Source organism: Homo sapiens, chromosome X (assembly GCF_000001405.40).
Source record: "Homo sapiens chromosome X, GRCh38.p14 Primary Assembly".
Lineage (NCBI taxonomy): Eukaryota > Metazoa > Chordata > Mammalia > Primates > Hominidae > Homo > Homo sapiens.
Genome location: NC_000023.11, coordinates 87,686,104 through 87,709,584, shown reverse-complemented (window position 1 = coordinate 87,709,584; position 23,481 = coordinate 87,686,104). Strand labels below are relative to the sequence as shown.

The 23,481-nt window shown below is 39.5% G+C and overlaps 1 pseudogene, besides 2 other annotated features; it reads left to right on the top strand.

The window, feature by feature from the left end:
* On the top strand, nt 5,279-6,312 carry RPSAP15 (ribosomal protein SA pseudogene 15; annotated as a pseudogene).
* Nucleotides 6,669-6,869: a silencer, noted in NCBI's record as "peak7403 fragment used in MPRA reporter construct". NCBI's record gives its function as "represses an SCP1 promoter by STARR-seq MPRAs in K562 erythroleukemia cells {active_cell/tissue: K562}" and the evidence as "EXISTENCE:reporter gene assay evidence [ECO:0000049][PMID:32103011]".
* Nucleotides 22,125-22,656: an enhancer, noted in NCBI's record as "OCT4-NANOG-H3K27ac hESC enhancer chrX:86941929-86942460 (GRCh37/hg19 assembly coordinates)". NCBI's record gives its function as "activates a minimal SCP1, AML or CMV promoter by ChIP-STARR-seq in primed H9 embryonic stem cells {active_cell/tissue: H9 hESC(primed)}" and the evidence as "EXISTENCE:reporter gene assay evidence [ECO:0000049][PMID:30033119]".

The window sequence follows — 23,481 nt, the reverse complement described above, 5'->3', positions numbered from 1 at the left end:
AGGCTCAGGTGGTTTCAGGTAGAGATGAAAAAGTTGTTGGAAACTGGAATAAAGTTGCCCCTGCCCTACAGATCTGTGGCAATTTGAACTTAAGAGAGATGATTTAGGGTGTCTGGTGGAATAAATTTCCAATCAACAAACCATTCAAGATGTTACTTGGGTGCTGGTAAATGCATTCAGCTTTATGTATTCACAAAGATATAGTTTGGGATTGGAACTTATGTTTAAAAGGGAAGCAGAGCATAAAAGTTTGAAAAATTTGCATCCTGATGATGTAATAGAAAAGAAAAACCTATTTTCTGAGGAGAAATTCAAGCTGGCTGCAGAAATTTGCATAAGTAAAAGGAGCCAAATGTTAATCACCAAGACAATGGGGAGAATATTTCTAGGACATGTCATAGGTCTTCATAGCAGCCCCTTCTATCACAGGCTTGAAGGCCTAGGAAAAAAATAATTTTGTGGGCTGGACCCAGGGCCTTGCTGCTTTGTGCAGTCTTGAGACTTGGTGCCCTGCATCCCAGCTGTGGCTAAAAGGTGCCAATGTACAGCTCAGGCCATTGCTTCAGAGGGTGCAAGTCCCAAGCCTTGGCAGCTCACATGTGGTATTGGGCCTACGGGGGCACAGAAGTCAAGAATTGAGGTTTGGGAACCTCTGTCAAGCTTTCAAAACATGTATGGAAACACCTGAATGTCCAGGCAGAAGTTTATTGCAGGGGTGGAGCCCTCAGGGAGAATCTCCACTAGGGTGGTGCAGAAGGGAAATGTGGGGTTGAAGCCCCCACACGAAGTCTCCACTGGGGCACATCCTGGTAGAGCTGTCAGATGAGGGCCAACTTCCTCCAGACCCCAGAATGGTAGATCCACCGACAGTTTGCACTGTGTGCCTGGAAAAGCCACAGACACTCAACACAAGCCCATGAAAGCAGCCAGGATGGGGGCTGTACCCTGCAAAGCCAGAGGGGTGGAGCTGCCCAAGGCTGTGGGAGCTCACGTCTTGCATCAGTGTGACCTCAATGTGAGACATGAAGTCAATGGAGATCATGTTAGAGTTTAAGATTTGACTGTGCTGCTGGAGTTTGGAATTGCCTGGGGCCTGTATCCCCTTCACTTTGGCCAATTCCTCCCATTTGGAATGAGTGTATTTACCCAGTGTCTGTAACCCCATTGTATCTAGAAAGTAACTAACTTGTTTTCCATTTTACAGGCTCATAGGCAGAAGGAACTTGCCTTGTCTTAGATGAAACTTTGGACTTGAACTTGTTGGGTTAATGCTGGAATAAGCTAAGACCTTGAGGGACTGTTGGAAAGGTATGATTATGTTTTGAAATGTGAGGACATGGGATTTGGGAAAGTCCATGGGCAGAATCACATGCTTTGGCTGTGTCCTTACCCAAATCTCATCTTGAATTATAGTTTCCATTATCCCCATGTGTTATGGGAGCAACACAGTGGGAGGTAATTGAATCATGGGAGCAGTTACCTCCATGCTGTTCTCATGAAAGTGAGTGAGTTTTTGTGAGATCTGATGGTTTTATAAGGGACTTTTCCCCTTTTGCTTGGCAATTCTCTTTCCTGCCGCCATGTGAAGAAGGATGTGTTTGCTTTCCCTTCCACCATGATTGTAAGTTTCCTGAGGCCTCCCAAGGCCTTTGGAACTGTAAATCAATTACACCTCTTTCCTTTATAAACTACCCAGTCTCAGGCATTTCTTTATAGCAGTGAGAGAACAGACTAATATAAGACTGATTCCTGTCATTTTCTTAACTGATTTCTGTTTGTCTTGTAAATCCTGTATCCCAAGGACAGACTCTCCTACCTACAAATGCTGCCACTGCTGGATGCTGTCACCAGGACCAAATCATGAGCCACTGGCAGTAATTCTGCAACCCCCAACACTGGGGAAGCCACACATTTACAAATACCCCAAGGACAGATGAACTCACCCACAGATAACACCTGCAGCCAAAGCATGCACTCCCCAGCTGCCTGCCTACAGTTGCTCCAACAAAAAGCAAGCCCACGCTCCCCAACATCAGGATCACAGATCAGTGACTTCCACTTCTACCTGAGCATTCCACCAGAGGCCTAGGAATTAGCCTCCCTCTGCCTACAACTTCAGCACCTGTATGCATCACCAAAGAGACACGGACAAGACTGCCTGGCACAACTCCACTTCACCCAGTAACTTAGCATGCTATGCTCTCTGGGGGCCTGAATATTGCCCTTCCCCATCTACTACCACTGGCATCTAGGCAATCCTCTTGTAGGCCTGAGGATGGGCCCACCAAACCTGCTATTACCACCACAGCTGGCACTCACTCTAACATATAACCTGAGGGCCTGGGGACTGGCCCACCCAGCTCATTGCATCCACTGCCAACACCAGTGCATACCGCTTGATTAAATACATTAAAGTAAACTGGGATGTTTGATTAACCTCCACATTGTACTTCTGGCTTCCCCCATTATTTTGTCTAGTAGTGTTCACACATGTAGTGAACAGAGTCTCATTTTACCATTTGGGTAAATCTGAAAAACCCTGTCCAAACAGTGTTAATAACATCTCCTTTTAAGGACAGCATGAAGGATTCTTACTGTTAAAACAAAGTGAGTTGAAGCATGAGCAGCTGGAGATTGCTCACTACTTCTGTCCTCAAGTGGTATTACTCAGAGTAGGCCTGCCAAATGTAGAAATTAACTAGACTGGCAGTTGTTGGGGTAAGTGAGAAATAAAGGCTAGGTAGTTATGAAAGATGTGCTGGACAACGCTGAGCAGTCATGCCATAGAGCTGTCCTCTGTATTTGGTTGTAGCATGGCACTCTTGTTACAGAAGTTTTATCATTTATTATACAGTCTACAACTATTTATTAATTTTATCCTTTGTCAGCTCTTTTTACATTTTGTAATGTAATGAGCACTCTTATGAACCAATAAACTAAAAAGTGTGTGTTTATTGAAAAGTGATGTCAATTTTTCAAGAAGTAGATGATACATGACTCATTCTAAATTAATTTCACTTACATGATTCTAGTTTTTTATATGCAGAAACAAAAAATAAGTAGCATTGGCTGTAAGATGGGGATGTCAGTGGGGCTCTAGGAATGTAAAGATGCAGGGACTGTTGGGCCCCAGGGCAGGATGCAGTGTAGTGGGGACAGAGATCTCAAAGTAATACCAAATTGCAGTTGCTTAGGACTAAGATGGTTTGTGGGACCCAACATGAACTTTCTCTCTAGGGCAATGTTATTGCACAATCTCCAGGTAGCTCCCTATATTACGCTAAGGGCCCATTAGCATCAAGGCATTCTCTCATGGCTAGGATTGCAAGAGTTTCAGGGGGAATGTGGACCACTGGGGATCTCTCACTAACCCTTTACTTGCATTATGGGGGCTCACCAGTCTCCTAGCCAATCCCTGCCTAGCGGGCTGCCTTACTTCCTTTTTCTTCCTTGCTTCAGGTGTTTTCTGTCACTTTGCTGTTGAATTCCAATGTGCTTTCTTAGATAATCTATTAGAAGTATGATTATCTGTTCATTATTTTGAGGAGATAAGTAACAGATGCCTTTGGTCAAACATCTTGAAGCCACTCTGCCGAAGATTACAAAATATTATTCAACACCATCTTTATCACATGAAAGATTATAGTTCAATCAATTACTTTTTGTTAATGTAAGTATTTGTAAATGTTGACAGCTATGTTCTCTACATTGATAGAATATCACAGCATTTTATGAGGCAATTCTAATTTATGTGTGTGAAAGGTAGAGGGTTGTACCACCACTGCTAACATCATCTCTCATCCCATGCCCTCTGCCTGGGAGCTCAAGGACCTGCCCATTCACACACCCACTGCCACCACTACCAGAACCAAGGCAAGATGCCTGTAGGCCCAAGAATTGGCCCACATGGATTCAATAGCACTGGTGACAATGTTTGTCAGCCTGGGGCTCAAGAACAGATCATGATAAAATGTACTCTTACTAAATTATAGATCCTATACAATAATTTATTTGGTATTAATGTGTTAAAATGAAATGTCTAAGCAATAACTTAAAACAGACTGAATCTATCAGTGAACCATTTTTTTGGGAAACACTCTTCTAGAGCTTTCCATGTTGCCTCATCCTCAATTAGTGTTAAATATTTCGTTAGGTGAAGTATCAATTCCTGTTACTGCTTCTCCCACTGTAACCCTTTGAAAAGTTCCAGGTTCTGGGAGCCAATTGAGGGTCTCATAAATTATTTCAACCACAATGGCAAACATAAAAGCAAGCACAGTATAGCTATCTGCCCCAAGATATTTTCTGAAATAAGGGACTGCTCACTAAGGGGTGAGTAAGGGACTTATTGTAGCCCCTTAGTCACCCATTAGTAAGCAATCCCTAGCTGCTCGAAAACAGTAGATTTTATTATTAGTCATCAAATTGTTGTTTATGGTCTTAATTGGACATTTTCTGAGCCTGAACTGTAAAATATGGAACCTGATATCCTATATATACATATAAAATTATATTTTTAATATTTCAATTTGGTCTTCCAGAGAGAGCTTTTAAAATCCCAATGTGTATGTTGTTATGATAATCTATTTTTCTTGTCTTCACAGTACTGGTAGAAAATCTTTTACATCCATATGATGAATCTCAATTTATTTTTTAATTTCTGCAGTGTCAACTATGTCAGCCTTTGGAAATCAAATGACATCAGTAAAATCATAAAACTCCTTGTTTATAGATTTCAGAACATAATGCTTTATCTACTTTGACTTTAATCTGTACTTGAGAGCATTCAAAATTTGGTTATTTATAGGAGTACTGCTTAAGTCTATTTTTGACAAGGGATCATTTAGGTTTCCAAACTTCTTTCTAACTTCTCTTAGAATTTGAGAATTATCTAATAACAGGTCAATATTTATCTTATTTTGTAATCAAATATTAGCAATGAGAGTGTATTGGTGGTGGTGATGATTACATGCACTTTGCTCATTTGAAAACATCAATACCAACATCAAAATTAAACAAAACATTAAAATTAAAACAAAGTTAAACTTTGACATTAAACATTTAGAGAAGGAAGTATTTAAAAGACTATCATAATCATCACTTTTTAAGAGGTCCACTCTGGCACTGTACCAAGCCAGGGATTATCTATCTCTTGATTTCTTCTTACACAATACATTTTAAATTCTGGCTTAAGCCACTCAGTCAATTGTTCCCTTACCTGCAGCTGACATTTTACCGATATATACACACATTAATGTTATAAAATTACTTCTTGGTCTTTCCGCACTACCTACAGAGGGGTCCATAGGGGGTTGTTCTAGATTCCCGTCGTAACTTAAAGGGAAACTTTCACAATGTCCGGAGCCCTTGATGTCCTGCAAATGAAGGAGGAGGATGTCCTTAAGTTCCTTGCAGCAGGAACCCACTTAGGTGGCACCAATCTTGACTTCCAGATGGAACAGTACATCTATAAAAGGAAAAGTGATGGCATCTATATCATAAATCTGAAGAGGACCTGGGAGAAGCTTCTGCTGACAGCTCGTGCTATTGTTGCCATTGAAAACCCTGCTGATGTCAGTGTTATATCCTCCAGGAATACTGGCCAGAGGGCTGTGCTGAAGTTTGCTGCTGCCACTGGAGCCACTCCAATTGCTGGCCGCTTCACTCCTGGAACCTTCACTAACCAGATCCAGGCAGCCTTCCGGGAGCCACGGCTTCTTGTGGTTAGTGACCCCAGGGCTGACCACCAGCCTCTCACGGAGGCATCTTATGTTAACCTACCTACCATTGCTCTGTGTAACACAGATTCTCCTCTGCACTATGTGGACATTGCCATCCCATGCAACAACAAGGGAACTCACTCAGTGGGTTTGATGTGGTGGATGCTGGCTCGGGAAGTTCTGCGCATGCGTGGCACCATTTCCCGTGAACACCCATGGGAGGTCATGCCTGATCTCTACTTCTACAGAGATCCTGAAGAGATTGAAAAAGAAGAGCAGGCTGCTGCTGAAAAGGCAATGACCAGGGAGGAACTTCAGGGTGAATGGACTGCTCCAGCTCCTGAGTTCACTGCTACTCAGCCTGAGGTTGCAGACTGGTCTGAAGGTGTACAGGTGCCCTCTGTGCCTATTCAGCAGTTCCCTACTGAAGACTGGAGCACTCAGCGTGCCACGGAAGACTGGTCTGCAGCTCCCACTGCTCAGGCCACTGAATGGGTAGGAGCAACCACTGACTGGTCTTAAGCTGTTCTTGCATAGGCTCTTAAGCAGCATGGAAAAATGGTTGATGGAAAATAAACATCAGTTTCTAAAATAAAATAAAATAAAATTACTTCTTGGTTTATACATATTAATTGCCATCATTTAGCATTGTTTTCCTTTTCTGTTTACTTCACGAAAAACATTTCCAGAACTCCAAGTTGCTAGAATAGTCTGATTGGTCAAAGTTTTTATGAGGCCAGTATAGTAGATCCTAATAGAGTTATGTTGCCTTGACATTTATTTTGAATATAGGGTTGGCTTTTTCATACCACAAGCAAGGCTTAGTCATCCTTGACACAGTTCCCAGTTCTCTGCCTCCCGTAGTTCCTCAAGCAGATCTATCCATATATCTTTCTTATACAATCACCTCCTACTGACCACATCTTTATGGGACAGCTATATACTACCTGACTGATCCCCACATCCTACACAGGCTTTGCAGATAAGCCATAGCGGTCACTTTTCAGTCACAGTGGGAATCCATGGAACACATGCCTGCATATTCATAACCCACCAATTAGAACTCCACACAGAAAACTTGCTTGGGTAACACCTTGGATCTCAATGAAGGCTTTGGCCCACAGGCTCCTTTTTCTCTCTCTCTTCCTCCCCACCTGTTGGTTGAACCAATGTGTCCCAGAAAGCTTCCCTACTTCCTGTTTTCCCTGTGAGGCATGCTGCCTTCTTCTCTCCGGGATTTGTAAGTAATACACTGCTTCTGTTATCTTGTGCATTTTGTTGAGTTGCCTTCTCTGTGTCACACCTGATTCTCCTCCTGGTCAGGACTCTGCTGTGGAGTGGCTATCTTAGTAGGAATAAACTGGACACAGGTCAGACAAGAACCAAAAAGGATTCTGACAGCCTAAAAATGTTCTTTCTGTGAGGAAGATACCTGGGTATGATCAGGCACAGGCATTTGGTCATCCACCAGGATAAAGAACTATCATGAAAAACACATAAATATTTACCACCAAATTTATGGGAGCCCTATCTGAGCAAAGCTAGAGTTCAAAGCCACTCTCCAGGGAGAGATTTAAAAAAATATATTTGAGAAAAAATACAATGGTCAGACTCTTGAAAAAATTTTCTAGAAGCTGGTGATGCAGTGCCTTTCCCAAAATGACTATTCACCTACTTCCCCTGGAAGACAGCAGCAGTACATTGCTGTTCAGCTTACATTGGCCCCACCTCACCAGATCTAAGTGTATCCTTCTTTTCTATGTCACGCTGTAACAGCAGCACAGAAAGAGAAATCAATGACCACCAGAAACCTGGAGTGAGGCCTTTAAGGTTTAATGATTGTATTGTTAACCAAAGTGTACTTTTACTCTTAAACTACTTGTTTCTTCTTAATCTAAACTTCTTATTTTGTACATCCAAGTGAAAAGAGAAAAATAACTTTAGTTTCTTAAAAGGACATCTGTTTCTTGCCTCACTACTTGTTAAAAAGTGGAAAAAGTTAACTTATTTTGTCTATAATTCCAATCTTTCTCTCATTCTATCTTACTAACTACTTATCCTATGCATCTCAGCTCATCATCATTGTCTGGGGAAACTTTTCTTTAATCAAATCAGGTTTCACACTTTATTTATATGCTCTCATAACATTAGGTAATCTCCTTAATAGCACTTACCATAAAGTACTTTGCAATTATATACTTAGTTCTGTGAATTTTGATTAGCATATCTTTTTAATTATGCTTTGAGCAAGGTCCATAATATAATTGGCTTACAAAGATATCCTAGCACAGAGCACCACGTTTAGAACTTAATAGAAACTACACGATCTGGAGATTGCCAGACTGACTTCACATTGTACCACACATTCCCTTGCTCGCTATGTTCCAGTCACACTGACTGTTTTTCTGTCTCTTGATTCCACTTATTCACCCTGCTTCAAATTTGTGTCCTCTAGATATTTCACATTGTTCAGATATCTGGTTAAATACTAACCCTCAGAGAAGTCTTCCCTGACTGCACCCATTACAAAGAATCATCTCTCTATATTACAAGTCACATTATACTGTTTTAGTTTATTTCAGATGAATACTTTTATTTGCTTATTTTTTTTCCTCTCTTTTCCAGCTATTGGGGAAAAGGTCTTGTCTTACCTTGCCACTGCTATATCTTCATTTCTCAAACAACTGCCTAGCTAACTACTCAATAAAATTTTTGTGTGATGAGTTGTGCTCAATAAATATGTGTACAGCAGTTGAATGAAGTAATCAATTGTTTATATAGCAGAAAATCTTTATCCGAGGAAAAAAGTGGCCCACAGAAAGGTTTGGGTGTAGCTTATCATATTTATAGAGTTGCTAATATGTGTCCATTATAGATTAAAACCAGGGACTTAAAGTACTCTTGGGAGATAATTCATTCTAAGGAAAAAGTAGTTGAGGAAACTAAGCTGTTTGTAGAAAAATAGACCATTCAAAGTAAAGAGTAACTTTGAGTACAACATGGTAAATATCAACTAAATTGTTTCCTGCATCTCAGGAAGAGAAGGCTGTGAAAAAACAGCAGGTAACGGGTACAATTGTACAGCAGGTACAATAATTTGTTGTACATTTTAAAATAACTGAAAGAGTATAACTGGATTGTTTGTAAGACAAAGGATAAATGCTTGAAGGGATGGGCATCCAATTTTCCATGAAGTGGTTATTACGCATTTGCATACCTGTTCCAAAATATCTCATGTACTCCATAAATATATACACCTACTATGTACCAAAAAAAAATTAAAAATAAAAAAATTTTACAAAAAGAATAAAAAACCTTGAGCAGAGTAGGAATGATGAGAGAGCAGAAGACTCTGGTACTGGAAACAATAGTTCCAGCAGTTCCAGCAATGATGATAGGTGATATCTTCAACACAGACACTGGAATTCTAGATATTAGGCATCTGTAGCCTCATCTCAGGTAACAACATGTATTAGAAATAGCATCTCTACATACAGCAAGCTCCAACACCAGTGTTGAGCACTTCTTAGACAATGATTCTATAGTTACTACTATTAGCACTGGCAGCAAAAAAGGAATCAAAGTGAAACGGAGCATTTTTGTTCCTACCTGGCGACTCCAATAAAAATTTGAAAAGATTTTGAAGAGACTGTTTCCTATAGATAAGCTTTCCTCAATTTTGGAAGTATGACATTTTAGGATGAATAGTGCTTTGTCGTGGGGGGTTAACCTTTGCAATGAAAATATTTAGCAGCATCTCTGATATCTGCCTACTAGATTCTAGTTGTACTCATCAGCTGTGTCAACCAAAAATGTCTCCACGTATTGCCAAATGTCCGCTGAGTAGGCAAAATTGTCCCCAGTTGAGAAATGCTACTATAGAGTAAGAGAGAAGAGCCAGAGAAATCCTGCTTTGCAATTGTTGCTATCACCTAAATTTTCCCCTAAGATAGAGAAGCTAGAGAAAGCCTAGTTATATGTACAAATGAAGACAAACCTAGTTTTTTTTTTAGCGTGTTAAAACTTTACATCTTTATCCAAACATCTCATGTACCCCATAGATATAGACACCTAGTGTGTACTCACAAAAATTAAAAATTAAAGAAAACACATTGGCTTATATGGTTTTGGGAGCTTCTAATTCTGAAATTTGTAAGGCAGGCTGATAGACTGGAAACTAATGTTGCAGTTTTGAGGCTGCTTTTTTTTTTCTCAGGAAAATCTTATTTTCTTTTAAGGCCTTTCAGTTGACTCAGTAATGTTCACCCATATAATCAAAGTAATCTCCTTTACTCAACTTAACTCATTGTACATGTTAACACATCTACAAAATACCTTCACAGCAGCACCTATATCAGTGTTTAAACAACTGGGTACCATAGCCTAGCCAAGTTGACACACAAAACTATCATAACAACTATATTTTTTGAGTTTCACAAGCTATTTTGTATAAAACACAAATTAGTATGTTGATTGTGAATCTCAGTAGCTCCTAAAAATATAAATTTTGTCTGGTTATAGTGGCTCATGCCTGTATTACTAGCACTTTGGGAGGCCAAGGCAGGAGGATCACTTGAGGTCAGGAGTTTGAGACCAGCCTGGGCAATATAGTGAGACCTCATTTATACAAAAATATAAAAAATAGCCAGGCATGGCTGCACACACCTGTAGTATTGGCTACTTGGGAGGCTGAGGCACGAGGATCACCAGAGCCCAAGAGTTCAAGGTTGCAGTGAGCTATGATCACACCATTGCACTCTAGCCTGGGTATAAGGGTGAGAATCCGTCCCAAAAAGAAACAAAAATTATGACTAGCACTATTTAACAAAGAGTTTGAGACTTTATCCAGAGCATTACACAAATGAGCTCAAGGAAAAGGTAAGCAGAGTGGCAAAGCATGAGCGTGGGGTAAAACCTGAGTGTGACTTCAAATTCAGGCCTACTGTCTACTGGCTATGTAACCTAGAGCAAATCACTTACCTCTTTGAGTTTTGGTTTCCTTATCTCTTAAGGAGACATAATAATACCTACATCAAAGCATTATTATGAAATTGAAGTGAGGTGATGTGTTGAAAATGTCTAGAAAAGGATTTAGCCTATAACAATAGTTATAATGTACTGGCTGCTTTCCATACATTCTATGCTATTCTGAGCTCTTTTCACAAATCAAGTCATAATTATTTCAATAACCCTAAAAGGCCTTTACTATTATTACTCCCATTATAGAGATAAAGAAAATAACGCTTGAAACAGTTAGAGAACTAACATTCCCAAGCCAACACTTGTTCCCAGACTGCCAGACATCAGAGTCTAAGCTCTTAACTACAGTAACTTTGGTTTCAACAAGTATAAATATATAGACCAAGGGTCATCAAATTACAGCCCACAGACAGCAGGCCAAATGTAGGTCACTCTCTGTTTTTATATAGCCTGTGAGCTATGAATGGTTTTTACATTTTTAAGTGGTTAAAAGACAATCAAAAGAAGAAAACTATTTTGTGATATCTAAGAATTAATTGAAATTGGGCCAGGCACGGTGGCTTATGCCTGTAATCCCAGCACTTCGGGAGGCCAAAGCAGGCAGATCACTTGAGGCCAGGAGTTTCTTACCAGCCTGGCCAACATGGCAAAACCCTGTCTCTACTAAAAATACAAAAGTTAGTTGGGCATGGTGGCGTCGCCAGTAACCCCAGCTACTCGGGAGGCTGAGACACAAGAATTGCTTGAGCCTGGGATGTGGAGGTTGCGGTGAGCTGAGATAGCACCACTGTACTCCAGCCTGAGCAACAGAGCAAGACTGTGTGTTAAAAAAAATAAATTACTTGAAATTTAAATTTTAGTGCCCATAACTAAATTTTTTTTGGAACAGCTCTACACTCATTTTTTTAAACATATTCTGTAGGGTTGTTTGCATGCTATTTGGCTGAGTTATGTAGTTGCAATAGAGATTATGTTTGGTAAAATGCAACATATTTCCTCTCTTGCCCTTTATAGGAAATGGTAGCCAATTCTGGCCTAGTAACTTATTCTCCTAACTTTGGACTACTCCATTTTATACATATTGTGTGTGTGTGTGTGTGTGTGTGTGTGTGTCTTGAGAAAATAGAACAGATGAAGCTAAGAAAATGCAAACTTACCAAACAGTGAAAAGAGTATGGAGAGAAAAAATTTGCTACCTTGTTTGATGCTGATGAAAAACTATTAATATGATGACAGAAATAGAGAAAAATTGTTTGACAACACCATCTACTGAGAAAATCTGATATTACAGAGAATGTGACAAAACCAGTTTCTCTCAACTTTTTGTATGCATCAGCATCACCTGGATTCTTGGTATGAAATAAATATTTCTGAATTAACATTCCTCACAGAACTTAATAGAAAACAATGCTCATACCCGAGGTAAACATGGCACATGGCCATTTGTATTTCTTCCTATTTTATGTATTTCCTTCATTCAGGTTAGTATTGTTGTATCTTCAGCAGTGGACTTGGTGGGTAAATATTCCATTGATGCTCTGGTTGGAATCAGGGAGGCCTCAGGCCTTTATCCAAGCCTTATTGAGTCCCATTGACAGAGATCATTATACAATGGTTGTCTGCAAGGAAAGGGATGTTTACTGCAGCTGTGCTAAGCCAGGAATCAGAGGGCAGGGTCAGGTAATTTAAGTGAGAACAGCAGTATTGGCTATCTGAATGGGAGAATGAAGCCTGATGAATTCCACTAATAGGGTGTCTACTGATGATTTTCCCCGATGTTCTCAGCTCAGGAGTATAGGCTTGTGGTCTGAAGGCATCATAAATGCACCACGAAGTTTCTGATAAGACATAAGCTGAAAGAGCTTGCTCTCTAACTTCCAGTGTGCCTTAAGGTGCTATAAGGATCAGTGTGTGTGTGTGTGTGTGTGTGTGTGTGTGTGTTCATCTGTGTTCCTTCCATGGCAATCCTGAGAAAAGAACAAGATTGCCAAGTTGTGGAGGGAAGATGCTAGTTAGGAAAGGTGAGAAAAGGTAGTATCAGTGAAATTATTTGGCAATAGTAGTAGTGGCACTGCTAACTTTTCTTTCTAATTTAGAAGATGTTAGGGGCATATGACCCTTTGAGGTAGATATTATTATTAAAGTCAAACATTACTGATGAAAAAATTGAAGCTTTGAGAGGATAAAAAACTGTTAAGATCACTCAGCTAATAAATGATGATTCCAGCCAAGACACAAATCCAGTTTTTATTTGATTTTATTTTTTTACTTTAAAGCCCATGTTTCTTTCATAATGTTAAGCTATTAGGCTGGCATATACATATATATATGTACATAAAACTATCATAATAATAATTACCATTTATTGAGCACTTTGTAGGGCTAGGTTATATATGACATATATAATATCATATGTATATATGATATATATATATATATATTTTGTGTGTGTGTGTATTCTTTGCTTAATATAATTACCACCATAGGTCTGAAACTGAACTAACAAACCATTATTTCCTCCATTCTATTGATGAAGAAATAAGTTCTAAGAGGTTAAAGTGACTTTCTCAATATCACTCAGCTAGTATGTGCAGAGTCTGGATTTAAACTCAGGTCTCTTTGACTCTATATCTTTCCATTATATTAAGATATATTCAAGAGTTGGTATAGTATCCCAATACCACAATTCCCTTTCTTAAGACTTATATAAAGTATGGAGCTGGTTCTCTTATGCAGTCAAACCAGGAACTATAATTAGGAAAAACGCCAGGAATGATGTATGCCTAACATAACCCATAAGGACTACGAATGAACACAGATGATTTCTAGGAAATTTTAATATTCAGAAGCCTATTTACTTCACAGCAAATAAATCATTGATGATCATTGACACATTGCCTGGGTATTCTGTGAAACATCAGGATGGGTTTACACTTCAAACCTTAAGATGATTTAATCCACAGCCTACAGCTTGATCGCAACCTCATGAGAGACCATGAACTAGAACCACCCAAGGAAGCAACTCTTATATTTCCTGACCCTCTGAAAGTGTGTGTTGTAATAAGCATTAATTTTTAAGATGCCAAATTTGGGATAATTTCTTACACAGAGAAAGTAACAAAAAGATGTTAATTTTTAAGATGCTAAATTTGGAATAATTTCTTACACAGAAAAAGTAACACATAGGCACATTATTTTAATGCAGCTATATCATTTTGTTTCTAAAGGTAATATTAAAATGTAGCTGGTTTTTGGTACTATCTAAAGCCAAAAGATTAGGTGATATATTATGTCTCAACTTTCTGCAGGAATAGTTTTGCAACATTGCTGTTAATTACCATCCTTCTCCCTACGTCCTCCCTGTGGTCTTCCAGCTTCCTTGGATTGCCAATGCAGGCCACATCTTAAGTAAAAACCTGTTACTCCTCCATCCCCGATACTCGCATCCCGAGCATGCAATGAGTTTTATAAACACACAGAATAACCACTAACTTACCCAAGATAACAAAGCTTTTATCTCTGCTGGCCAGGATCTACTCTTACAGGTGTTTTACTTCATCTTCTCACCTTTCTGGATCCACAGGTAAACAAGTTTCTCTCTCCAGCCTCCTCTCAACCTGCATCTCACTTGTAGTCTCATCTCATGCTGGGGATATTGGGAACATTTATTTTAATTGGCAGTCCTCATCTTTCCTCTCTAGAGTCTCTTAGATATCCTCAATCACTTTCCTTTAGTGTCAGGTCAAAGTATCTCTCATTCTCTTCTGTAGACATTTTTTTTTTCCTGCCATTCTGATGAATAGCTGCATGGGTTTTCATCTTTAATAGTTCTTTGCTAGGGCTTGGATATAGTTTGTCTGTCCTCATCAAAACTCATATTGAAATTTGATCACACACTTGGCAGTGTTGGGAGGTGGATTATAGTGGGAGGTGTTTTTGTCATGGGGGCAGATTCTTCAGAAATAGGTTAATGCCCTCTTTTGGGGGTCAATCAGTTTTTTCTCTCCCTGGAATGGATTAAATACCAAGAAAGTGGGTTTTTAAAAATAATCTGACTTCCACGATTTCTTCTCTTCCTTCCTGTTTCACCATGTGATCTCTTTACACATGCTGGCTACCCTTCCATTTTCTGCTATGAGTGGAAGCAGCCTGAGGCCCTTGCCAGATGCATCTGTGCAATCCTGGATTTTCCATCCACCACAGTCATGAACCAAATAAACCTCTTGATTTTTATAAATTACCAGTCTCAGATACTCTGTCATAGCAACACAAAATGGAAGAAGAAATTATCATAATTCAAATGTATTGCTAAGAAAGTTGGAATGGTATAAAATTTAATCAAAATGATTAGAAAGTATGTTCAAGTCCTTAATATAATTAGATAATGAAATATATGTAAACTAAATAATGAAATACATTTCTAGATACAAAATTGTATATATATAACTATATATGTTTTATATAACCAATAAAGATATAATTAAATTATTTTATCTTCTGCTGACAGAATGTATAGCAAAACCTCAATAACTTATATGAAACCTAGTAAAATGAGAGCTAAATAATAAGAATTAGTGATTGTATAACTGTAGGGTCCATTGAAGAGAAATTGTGGCTGGTAGGCAAAAGTAGTTCAGTTATTAAAAGATGAACTACAGCTAGAGTAACATATCTCTCACAAGCAATAGCTGCTTTTTTTTCTTGAGACAGAGTCTTGCTCTCTTGCCCGGGCTGGAGTGCAGTGGCACAATCTCAGCTCACTGCAACCTCCACCTCCTGGGTTCAAGTGATTCTCCTGCCTAAGCCTCCCGAGTAGCTGGGATTATAGCAATAACTGCTTTTGCTCTGATGACTAATTTAGTTTCCCAAGAACATTGGTATAAAAAGTGCTATCTTGGGTAATTTTGGCTACTGCAAATGTGTATTTATTATCTTATGATAATGATATACAGATGCTCCTTGATTTATGATGGTTCTATCCAGAAGAAACCCCTCATAAATTAAGGAGAGTACTGAATGTGTATCACTTTCCACAGTTGAAAAATCATAAGTCAAGCCATCATACATCAGCGATTTCCCTGAAAAGCCAGAAGGCTTCTCATTTAAGTATTTTTTTTCAAAATTTGATACTGAACAACAAATGAATGTCAAATCTGGCTTGCAACTTGCTTTGTTCAGCTTAGAAAACATTCTAAATTGAATTTGATTGCCTTCAAAGAAGTTTGTAATCTCAATCCCAAAGCGCTATAACTCAATTTTGTTTATATACGGTGCCATTCACATATTTATGTTACCTATATGGCCTATGAAAACATTTGAATTTGCAGGCCCTTAACCTAAATAATACTTTGATTTTACTTGTTTAAAGTTAATTAGTTTGGGCTCTCAAACAAATCATCTGATCATAGGTCCTCTACATCTCAAGCCTGGTTTGTTGTCCCTCTGCTACTACTGAAAAACCAAAGATGAAACCATAGGTTTCAGGTAGTGAATGCAACCCCTTACAGACACTTAACTTGCTCAAGTTCTTTATTTACTTAACAACTGTGAAAAATTACAGAAATCACAAGCCTATGACTGTGGGTGAAGGATGCCTCCTGTATCATCAAGAAATATCGATTCCAAAATGTAAACCAATTTGATTTTTCTTCTCAGTCTATTCTTTTCACAACTTAAAAAATAACTTCAAGGTCTGTGTATTCATTATTTGAATAAATTACTTTGCACCTGCTCCCCTTAGACTTTAGTTCTGTAAAAGTATGTTTCACAAATAGCAACAGAGAATGTTTACAGCTTAACTTCTCAGAAAGGTAACAACATAATGTCTGTTCTCTCTAAACTCCCACTCCTGTTTCACGGAGAAAAACTGAAGACCCACACTCTCATGCTTTTACTGACTTTGTTTTTATAGTAGTATTCCTGGTGACTAGAAGAAGGATGGAATATTTTTTCTTATTTTCTCTAAGTCATGTCCATCTTCTACCCTTGAATAGTAAGCCATAAAATCACATCATCCTAGAAAAAAATGACTTCCTTTTTAAATTTCAACTTTTATTTTAGATACAGAAGTACATATATTGGTTTGTTACATGGGAAAACTGTGATGCTGAGTTGGGACTCTGTCACCCAGGTAGTAAACACAGTACCCAATAGGTAGCTTTTCAACCTATGCTCCTTCCTTTTTCCTCTAGTAGTCTGCAGTATCTATTGTTCCCATGTTTATGTCCATGTGTGCTCAATGTTTAGCTCCCAGTTATAAGTGAGAACATGTGGCATTTAGTTTTCTGTTTCTGCAGTAATTAGCTTAGAATTACGGCCTCCAACTGCATCCATGTTGCTGCAAAGGACATGAATCTATTCTTTTTTACATCTGCATAGTATTCCATGGTATATATATGCCACATTTTCTTCATCTAATCTTCTATTGTTGGGCACCTGTATTGATTTCAGGTCTTTGCTATTGTGAATACCATAGTGATGAACAAAATGAGTGTGTGTCTTTTTGGTAGAATGATTTGTTTTACTTTAGGCGTATGCCCAGTAATGGGATTGCTAGGTCAAATGATAGCTCTGTTTTAAGTTCTTTGAGAAATTTTCAGACTGCTTTCCACAGTGGCTGAACTAATTTATATTCCCACCAGCAGTGCATAAGTGTTCCCTTTCCTCTGCAGCCTCACCAGCATCTGTTGTTTTTTTGACTTTTTAGTAATAGCCATTCTGACTGGTGTGACATGGTATCTCATGGTGGTTTTGATTTGCATATGTATGGTGGCCACTTATACGTCTTCTTTTGAGAAGTGTCTGTTCATGGATATGTCCTTTGCTCATTTTTTAAAGGGGTTATTTGTTTTTTGCATGTTGATTTGTTTAAGTTCCCCATAGTTTCTGGATATTAGGCCTTAGTCAGATGCATAGTTTGTATTTTCTCCCATTCTGTAGGTTGTCTGTTTACTATGTTGATAGTTTATTTTCCTGTGCAGAAGCTTTTTAGTTTATTTAGTTCACACTTGTCTAAGTTGCTTTGTGTTGCAATATTTTTTGGAGATTTTGCCAACAATTATTTGCCAAGGCCAATGTTGAGAAGAGTAATTTCCATGTTGTGTCTTCTAGATTTTTTGTAGTTTGAGGTCTTACTTTTAAATGTATAATCCATTGTGAGTTAATTTTTGTATATGATGACACGTAGGTGTCACGTGTGTCCATGTGAAGAGACCATGTGAAGAGACTTGTTGCTTTGTGTGAAGAGACTTGTTGCTTTGTGTGAGCAACAAGGCTGTTTATTTCACTTGGGTACAAGTGGGCTGAGTCTGAAAAGAGAGTCAGCAAAGGGAGATAGGAGTGAGGCAGTTTTATAGGATTTGGGTAGGTAGTGGAAAATTACAGTTAACGGGGGTTGTTCTCTTGTGGGCAGGGGCGGGAGTCACAAGGCGCAGGGTGGGGAGATCATGAGACTCATGGTCCAGGGGAGGAACATCACAAGGTCGATTGATTAGTTGGGGTGGGGCGGGAACAAATCACAATGGTGGAATGTCATCTTTTGTGGTTCTTCAGTTGCTCCAGGCCATCTGGATGTATACATGCAGGTCATAGGGGTTATGATGGCTTAGCTTGGTCTCAGAGGGCTGACAGTAGGGGTCCAGCTTCAATCTTCTACATATGGCTAGCCAGTTATTCCAGCACCATCACTATAAAAATCCTCAACAGACTAGGCACAGAAGGAACATACCTCAAAATAATAATAGCCATCTGTGACAAACCCCCAGCCAACATCATAATGAATGGGCAAAAGCTGGAACTATTCCCTTTGAGAACTTGAACAAGACAAGGATGCCCACTTTCACCACTCCTATTCAACATAATACTGAAAGTCCTAGCCAGAGCATTTGGGCAACAGAAAGAAATAAAAGCCAGACAAACAGAAAAAGAAGAAGCCAAACTATCTCTCTTCACTGATAATATGATTTTATACCTAGAAAATCAGAAAGACTCTGCTAAAAGCCTCCTAGAACTGATAAACTACTTTCATAAAATTTTTGGATACAAAATCAATGTACAAAAATCAGTAGCATTTCTATATATGAACAATGTCCAGGGTGAGAGAAAAATTAAAAACACAATCCCACTTACAATAGCCACGAAGAATATGAAATAACTAGTCATACAGCTAACCAAGGAGATGAAAGATCTCTACAAAAAGAACTACAAAACACTGCTGAAAAAAATCAGACAACAGCCGGGCGCGGTGTCTCATGCCTGTAATCCCAGCAGTTTGGGAGGCCGAGTTGGGCGGATCACGAGGTCAGGAGACCCAGACCATCCCGGCTAACACGGTGAAACCTCGGTGAAACCTCGTCTCTACTAATAATACAAAAAAATTAGCCGGGCGTGGTGGCAGGCACCTGTAGTCCCAGCTACTCGGGAGGCTGAGGCAGGAGAATGGTGTGAACCTGGGAGGCGGAGCTTGCAGTGAGCTGAGATCGCGCCACTGCACTCCAGCCTGGGCGACAGAGCAAGACTCCATCTCAAAAAAAAAAAAGAAAAGAAAAAAAGAAATCAGACATAAAACATATATATGGAAAAACATTCCATGCTCGTGGATTGGAAGAATCAATATCGTAAATATGGCCATACTGCCCAAAGCAATGTACAGATTCAATGTTATTCCTTTCCAACTACCAACATTATTCTTCACAGAGTTAGAAAAAAAACTGTTCTAAAATTCATTTGAGACCAAAAACAGCCTGAATAGCTAAAGCAATCCTAAGCAAAAAGAATAAGGCTGGAGATATCACACTACCTAACTTCAAACTATAAGACTACAGTAACCAAAACAGCATTGCACTTGTGCAAAACAAACACACAGAATAATGAAACAGAGTAGAAAATCTAGAAATAATGCTGCCACACCTACAACCATCTGATCTTTGACAAGGCTGGCAAAAATAAGCAGTGGGAAAATGACTCCATATTCAAAAAATGACTTTTTTTTTTTAACAGTACAGGAGAACCGTAACAGTGGATTCTTCTGGGATCATCTTATCATGCAGTAAAGAAGGGGTAAAGGATAATTTTTAAAAAATTACTTCTAAAACCTACCACAGATATCGGCAAACTGTTTTTTCTGTAAGAAACCAAACAGTAAATATTTTATGCTTTATGGACCACAATCTCTGTTGCAACTACTCAATTCTGCCATTGTAATACACCAATAAATAAGCATGACTGTTTCCATGAAACACAAAACAAAAAGCAAGTGATGAGAAGCTGATATGACCAAAAGAGTGCTGCTTTTTTTTCTTTTTCTTTTTTTCTTTTTTTGGAGATGCAGTCTTGGTCTGTCACCCAAGTTGAAGTGCAGTGGCATAATCTTGGCTCACCGCAACCTTCGCCTCCCAGGTTCAAGTAATTCTCCTGCCTCAGCCTCCAAAGTAGCTGGGATTACAGGCGCCTGCCACCATGCCCGGCTAATTATTGTACTTTTTGGCCAGGCTGGTCTCGAACTCCTGACCTCAAGTGATCCAGCCCCCTTGGCTTCCCAAAGTGCTGGGATTACAGGCATGAGCCACCGTGCCCAGCCAAAAGAGTGTTGCTTTTCTTTTCTTTTTTTTTTTTTAGCAATTTTTTTTTAATTATTATACTTTAAGTTCTAGGGTACATGTGCACCACGTGCAGGTTTGTTACATATGTATACATGTGCCATGTTGGTGTGCTGCACCCGTTAGCTCATCATTTACATTAGGCATATCTCCTAATGCTATCCCCCCCCACTCCCCCAACCCCACGACAGGCCCCGGTGTGTGATGTTCCCCACCCTGTGTCCAAGTGTTCTCATTGTTCAGTTCCCACCTATGAGTGAGAACATGCGGTGTTTGGTTTTCTGTCCTTGAGATAGTTTGCTCAGAATGATGGTTTCCAGCTTCATCCATCAGTGCTGCTTTTCTAACACTGAATATCCTTACATTGTCTCATTTAATGCGTGTGACTTTGAAAGGGGCTCATTTTAGTGAACACTTTTTACCCAACATTCCAGAGATTCAAACATGCCTAGATAATAAACGTACAGTATTTTTCATGCGCGTCCGTGTGAAAAGACCACGAAACAGGCTTTCTGTGAGCAATAAAGCTTTTTAATCACCTGGCTGCAGGCAGGCTGAGTCCGAAAAGAGAGTCAGCGAAGGGAGATAGGGGTGGGGCCGTTTTATAGGATTTGGGTGGGTAGTGGAAAATTACAGTCAAAGGGGTTTGTTCTCTTGCTGGCAGGGGTGGGGGTTACAAGGTGCTCAGCGGGGGAGCTTCTGAGCCAGGAGAAGGAATTTCACAAGATAATGTCATCAGTTAAGGCAGGAACTGGCCATTTTCACTTCTTTTGTGATTCTTCACTTGCTTAGGGCCATCTGGATGTATACCTGCAGGCTTGGGCTCAGAGGCCTGACAGTATTAAATCTGATATTTAGATTTCTGACTTCTAATTATATACCAAAGTTGTTCTCTTTTTAAATTTGTTTCATTTCATCACTGAAGCATCTCTCAAAATCTCTTGATTAAAATCTTTTTGTCCTGCCAGTACTTTTTTACCTCTATTATTACGCAACTGTGTGATATGAAATGTTATGTTTCATTCATCATTAGGGATGATATCCAATAAAATTTAAATTGGCTTACATAGGCCTTCTGTTTCTGTTTCATCCAGTGCTTTTAATCATATAAAACTATGTTGAATTCTGTCAAATTCTTTCTCTGAATCTACTGAAATCATTATGTGTTTTATCTGTTTATGTAATATAGTGTATTACATTGATTTATTTTTGTATGTGGGCTTCAATGTTGACACATAATAACAATTTAAAATATGTTGACTTACAGACCACTGGAGAACTGTAGAAAGCCCTAGTGCTTACTCATACCTAGTTCTCATTTGTTTCCCAAACTAATAAGAAGACCATTCTATCTTGCTTCTTTCCAGTTATTGATGGTTGTCACGTGACTGGTTCTACTATATTGTGAATATGTTCCCTAGAATTCATGTGTTGGAAGCTGAATTGCTATTGTAACAATATTAAGAAGTGATGCTTTTAAGGGATGATTAGGCCATGAGGGGAATGGATAAATGTCTTTATCTTGGGAGTCAGTTAATTACTGTGGGAGTGAGTTCCTAATAAAAAAAGATGAGTTCAGCCAGATTTTCTCTCTCGTCTCATGAGCTCACTTCCACTTTCCACCTTTCCCCTATGTGGTGACTTTCATGCACGTCCATGTGAAGAGACCACCAAACAGGCTTTGTTTGAGCAACATGGCTGTTTATTTCACCTTGGTGCAGGCGGGCTGAGTCCGAAAAGAGAGTCAGCGAAGGGAGATAAGGGTGGGGCCGTTTTATAGGATTTGGGTAGGTAAAGGAAAATTACAGTCAAAGGGGGTTTGTTCTCTGGCGGGCAGGAGTGGGGGTCGCAAGGTGCTCAGTGGGGGTGCTTTTTGAGCCAGGATGAGCCAGGAAAAGGACTTTCACAAGGTAATGTCATCACTTAAGGCACGGACTGGCCATTTACACTTCTTTTGTGGTGGAATGTCATCAGTTAAGGTGGGGCAGGGCATATTCACTTCTTTTGTGATTCTTCAGTTACTTCAGGCCATCTGGGCATATACGTGCAAGTCACAGGGGATGCGATGGCTTGGCTTGGGCTCAGAGGCCTGACATTCCTGCCTTCTTATATTAATAAGAAAAATAAAACAAAACAGTGTTGAAGTGTTGGGGCGGCGAAAATTTTTGGGGGGTGGTATGGAGAGAGAATGGGCGATGTTTCTCAGGGCTGCTTCAAGCGGGATTAGGGGCAGTGTGGGAACCTAGAGTGGGAGAGATTAAGCTGAAGGGAGGTCTTGTGGTAAGGGGTGATATTGTGGGGATGTTAGAAGAATCATTTGTCATATAGAATGATTGGTGATGGCCTGGATACAGTTTTGTATGAATTGAAAAACTAAATGGAATAACAAAAGGAGAAAAACAGGTATAAAATGTCTAAGAATTGGGACGACTCAGGATATCTGATTAGAGAGTGCTTAAGCAGATTCAGCATAGTCCTGCCAGCAAAGATTATTTATTTACTTCAAGAGTTAAGAGCGGCAGTCTGGGGATAGCACCAGGAGATATCAGCTGTGATGTTTTGGAAAAACAGTGTAAACCGGCAGTGTAAACAAGAGCAGGGCATGTATGAGTAGTTGAGAACGGTGAATAGGAGTATGACTAGACAGAAGATAGTAGGGATGACAAGTTTTTTTGGGGACACAGTCTAAGTTGGTCTGGTGTCTGGAATGAGACTGGGGCCTAATAAAAAGGAGCGTCTATACAGGAGCTTAAATGGGCTGTACCCTGTAGCATTCCGAGGACAGGCCTGAATTCTGAGAAGGGAAAGTGGTAAAAGTATTGTCCAGTCCTTTTAAGTTGGTGGCTGAGCTTGGTGAGGTGTGTTTTTAAGAGACCTTTAGTCCATTCTACTTTTCTTGAAGATGGAGGACCGTAAGGGATATAAAGGTTTCCCTGAATACTAAGAGCCTGAAAAACTGCTTGGCTGATTTGACTAATAAAGGCTCGTCTGTTATCAGACTGTATTGAGGTGGGAAGGCTAAACTGAGGAATTATGTCTGACAGAAGGGAAGAAATGACTGTGGTGGCCTTCTCAGACCCTGTAGGAAAGGCCTCTACCTATCCAGTGAAAGTATCTACCTAGACTAAGAGGTATTTTAGTTATCTGACTCAGGGCATGTTGAGTAAAGCTAATTTGCCAGTCCT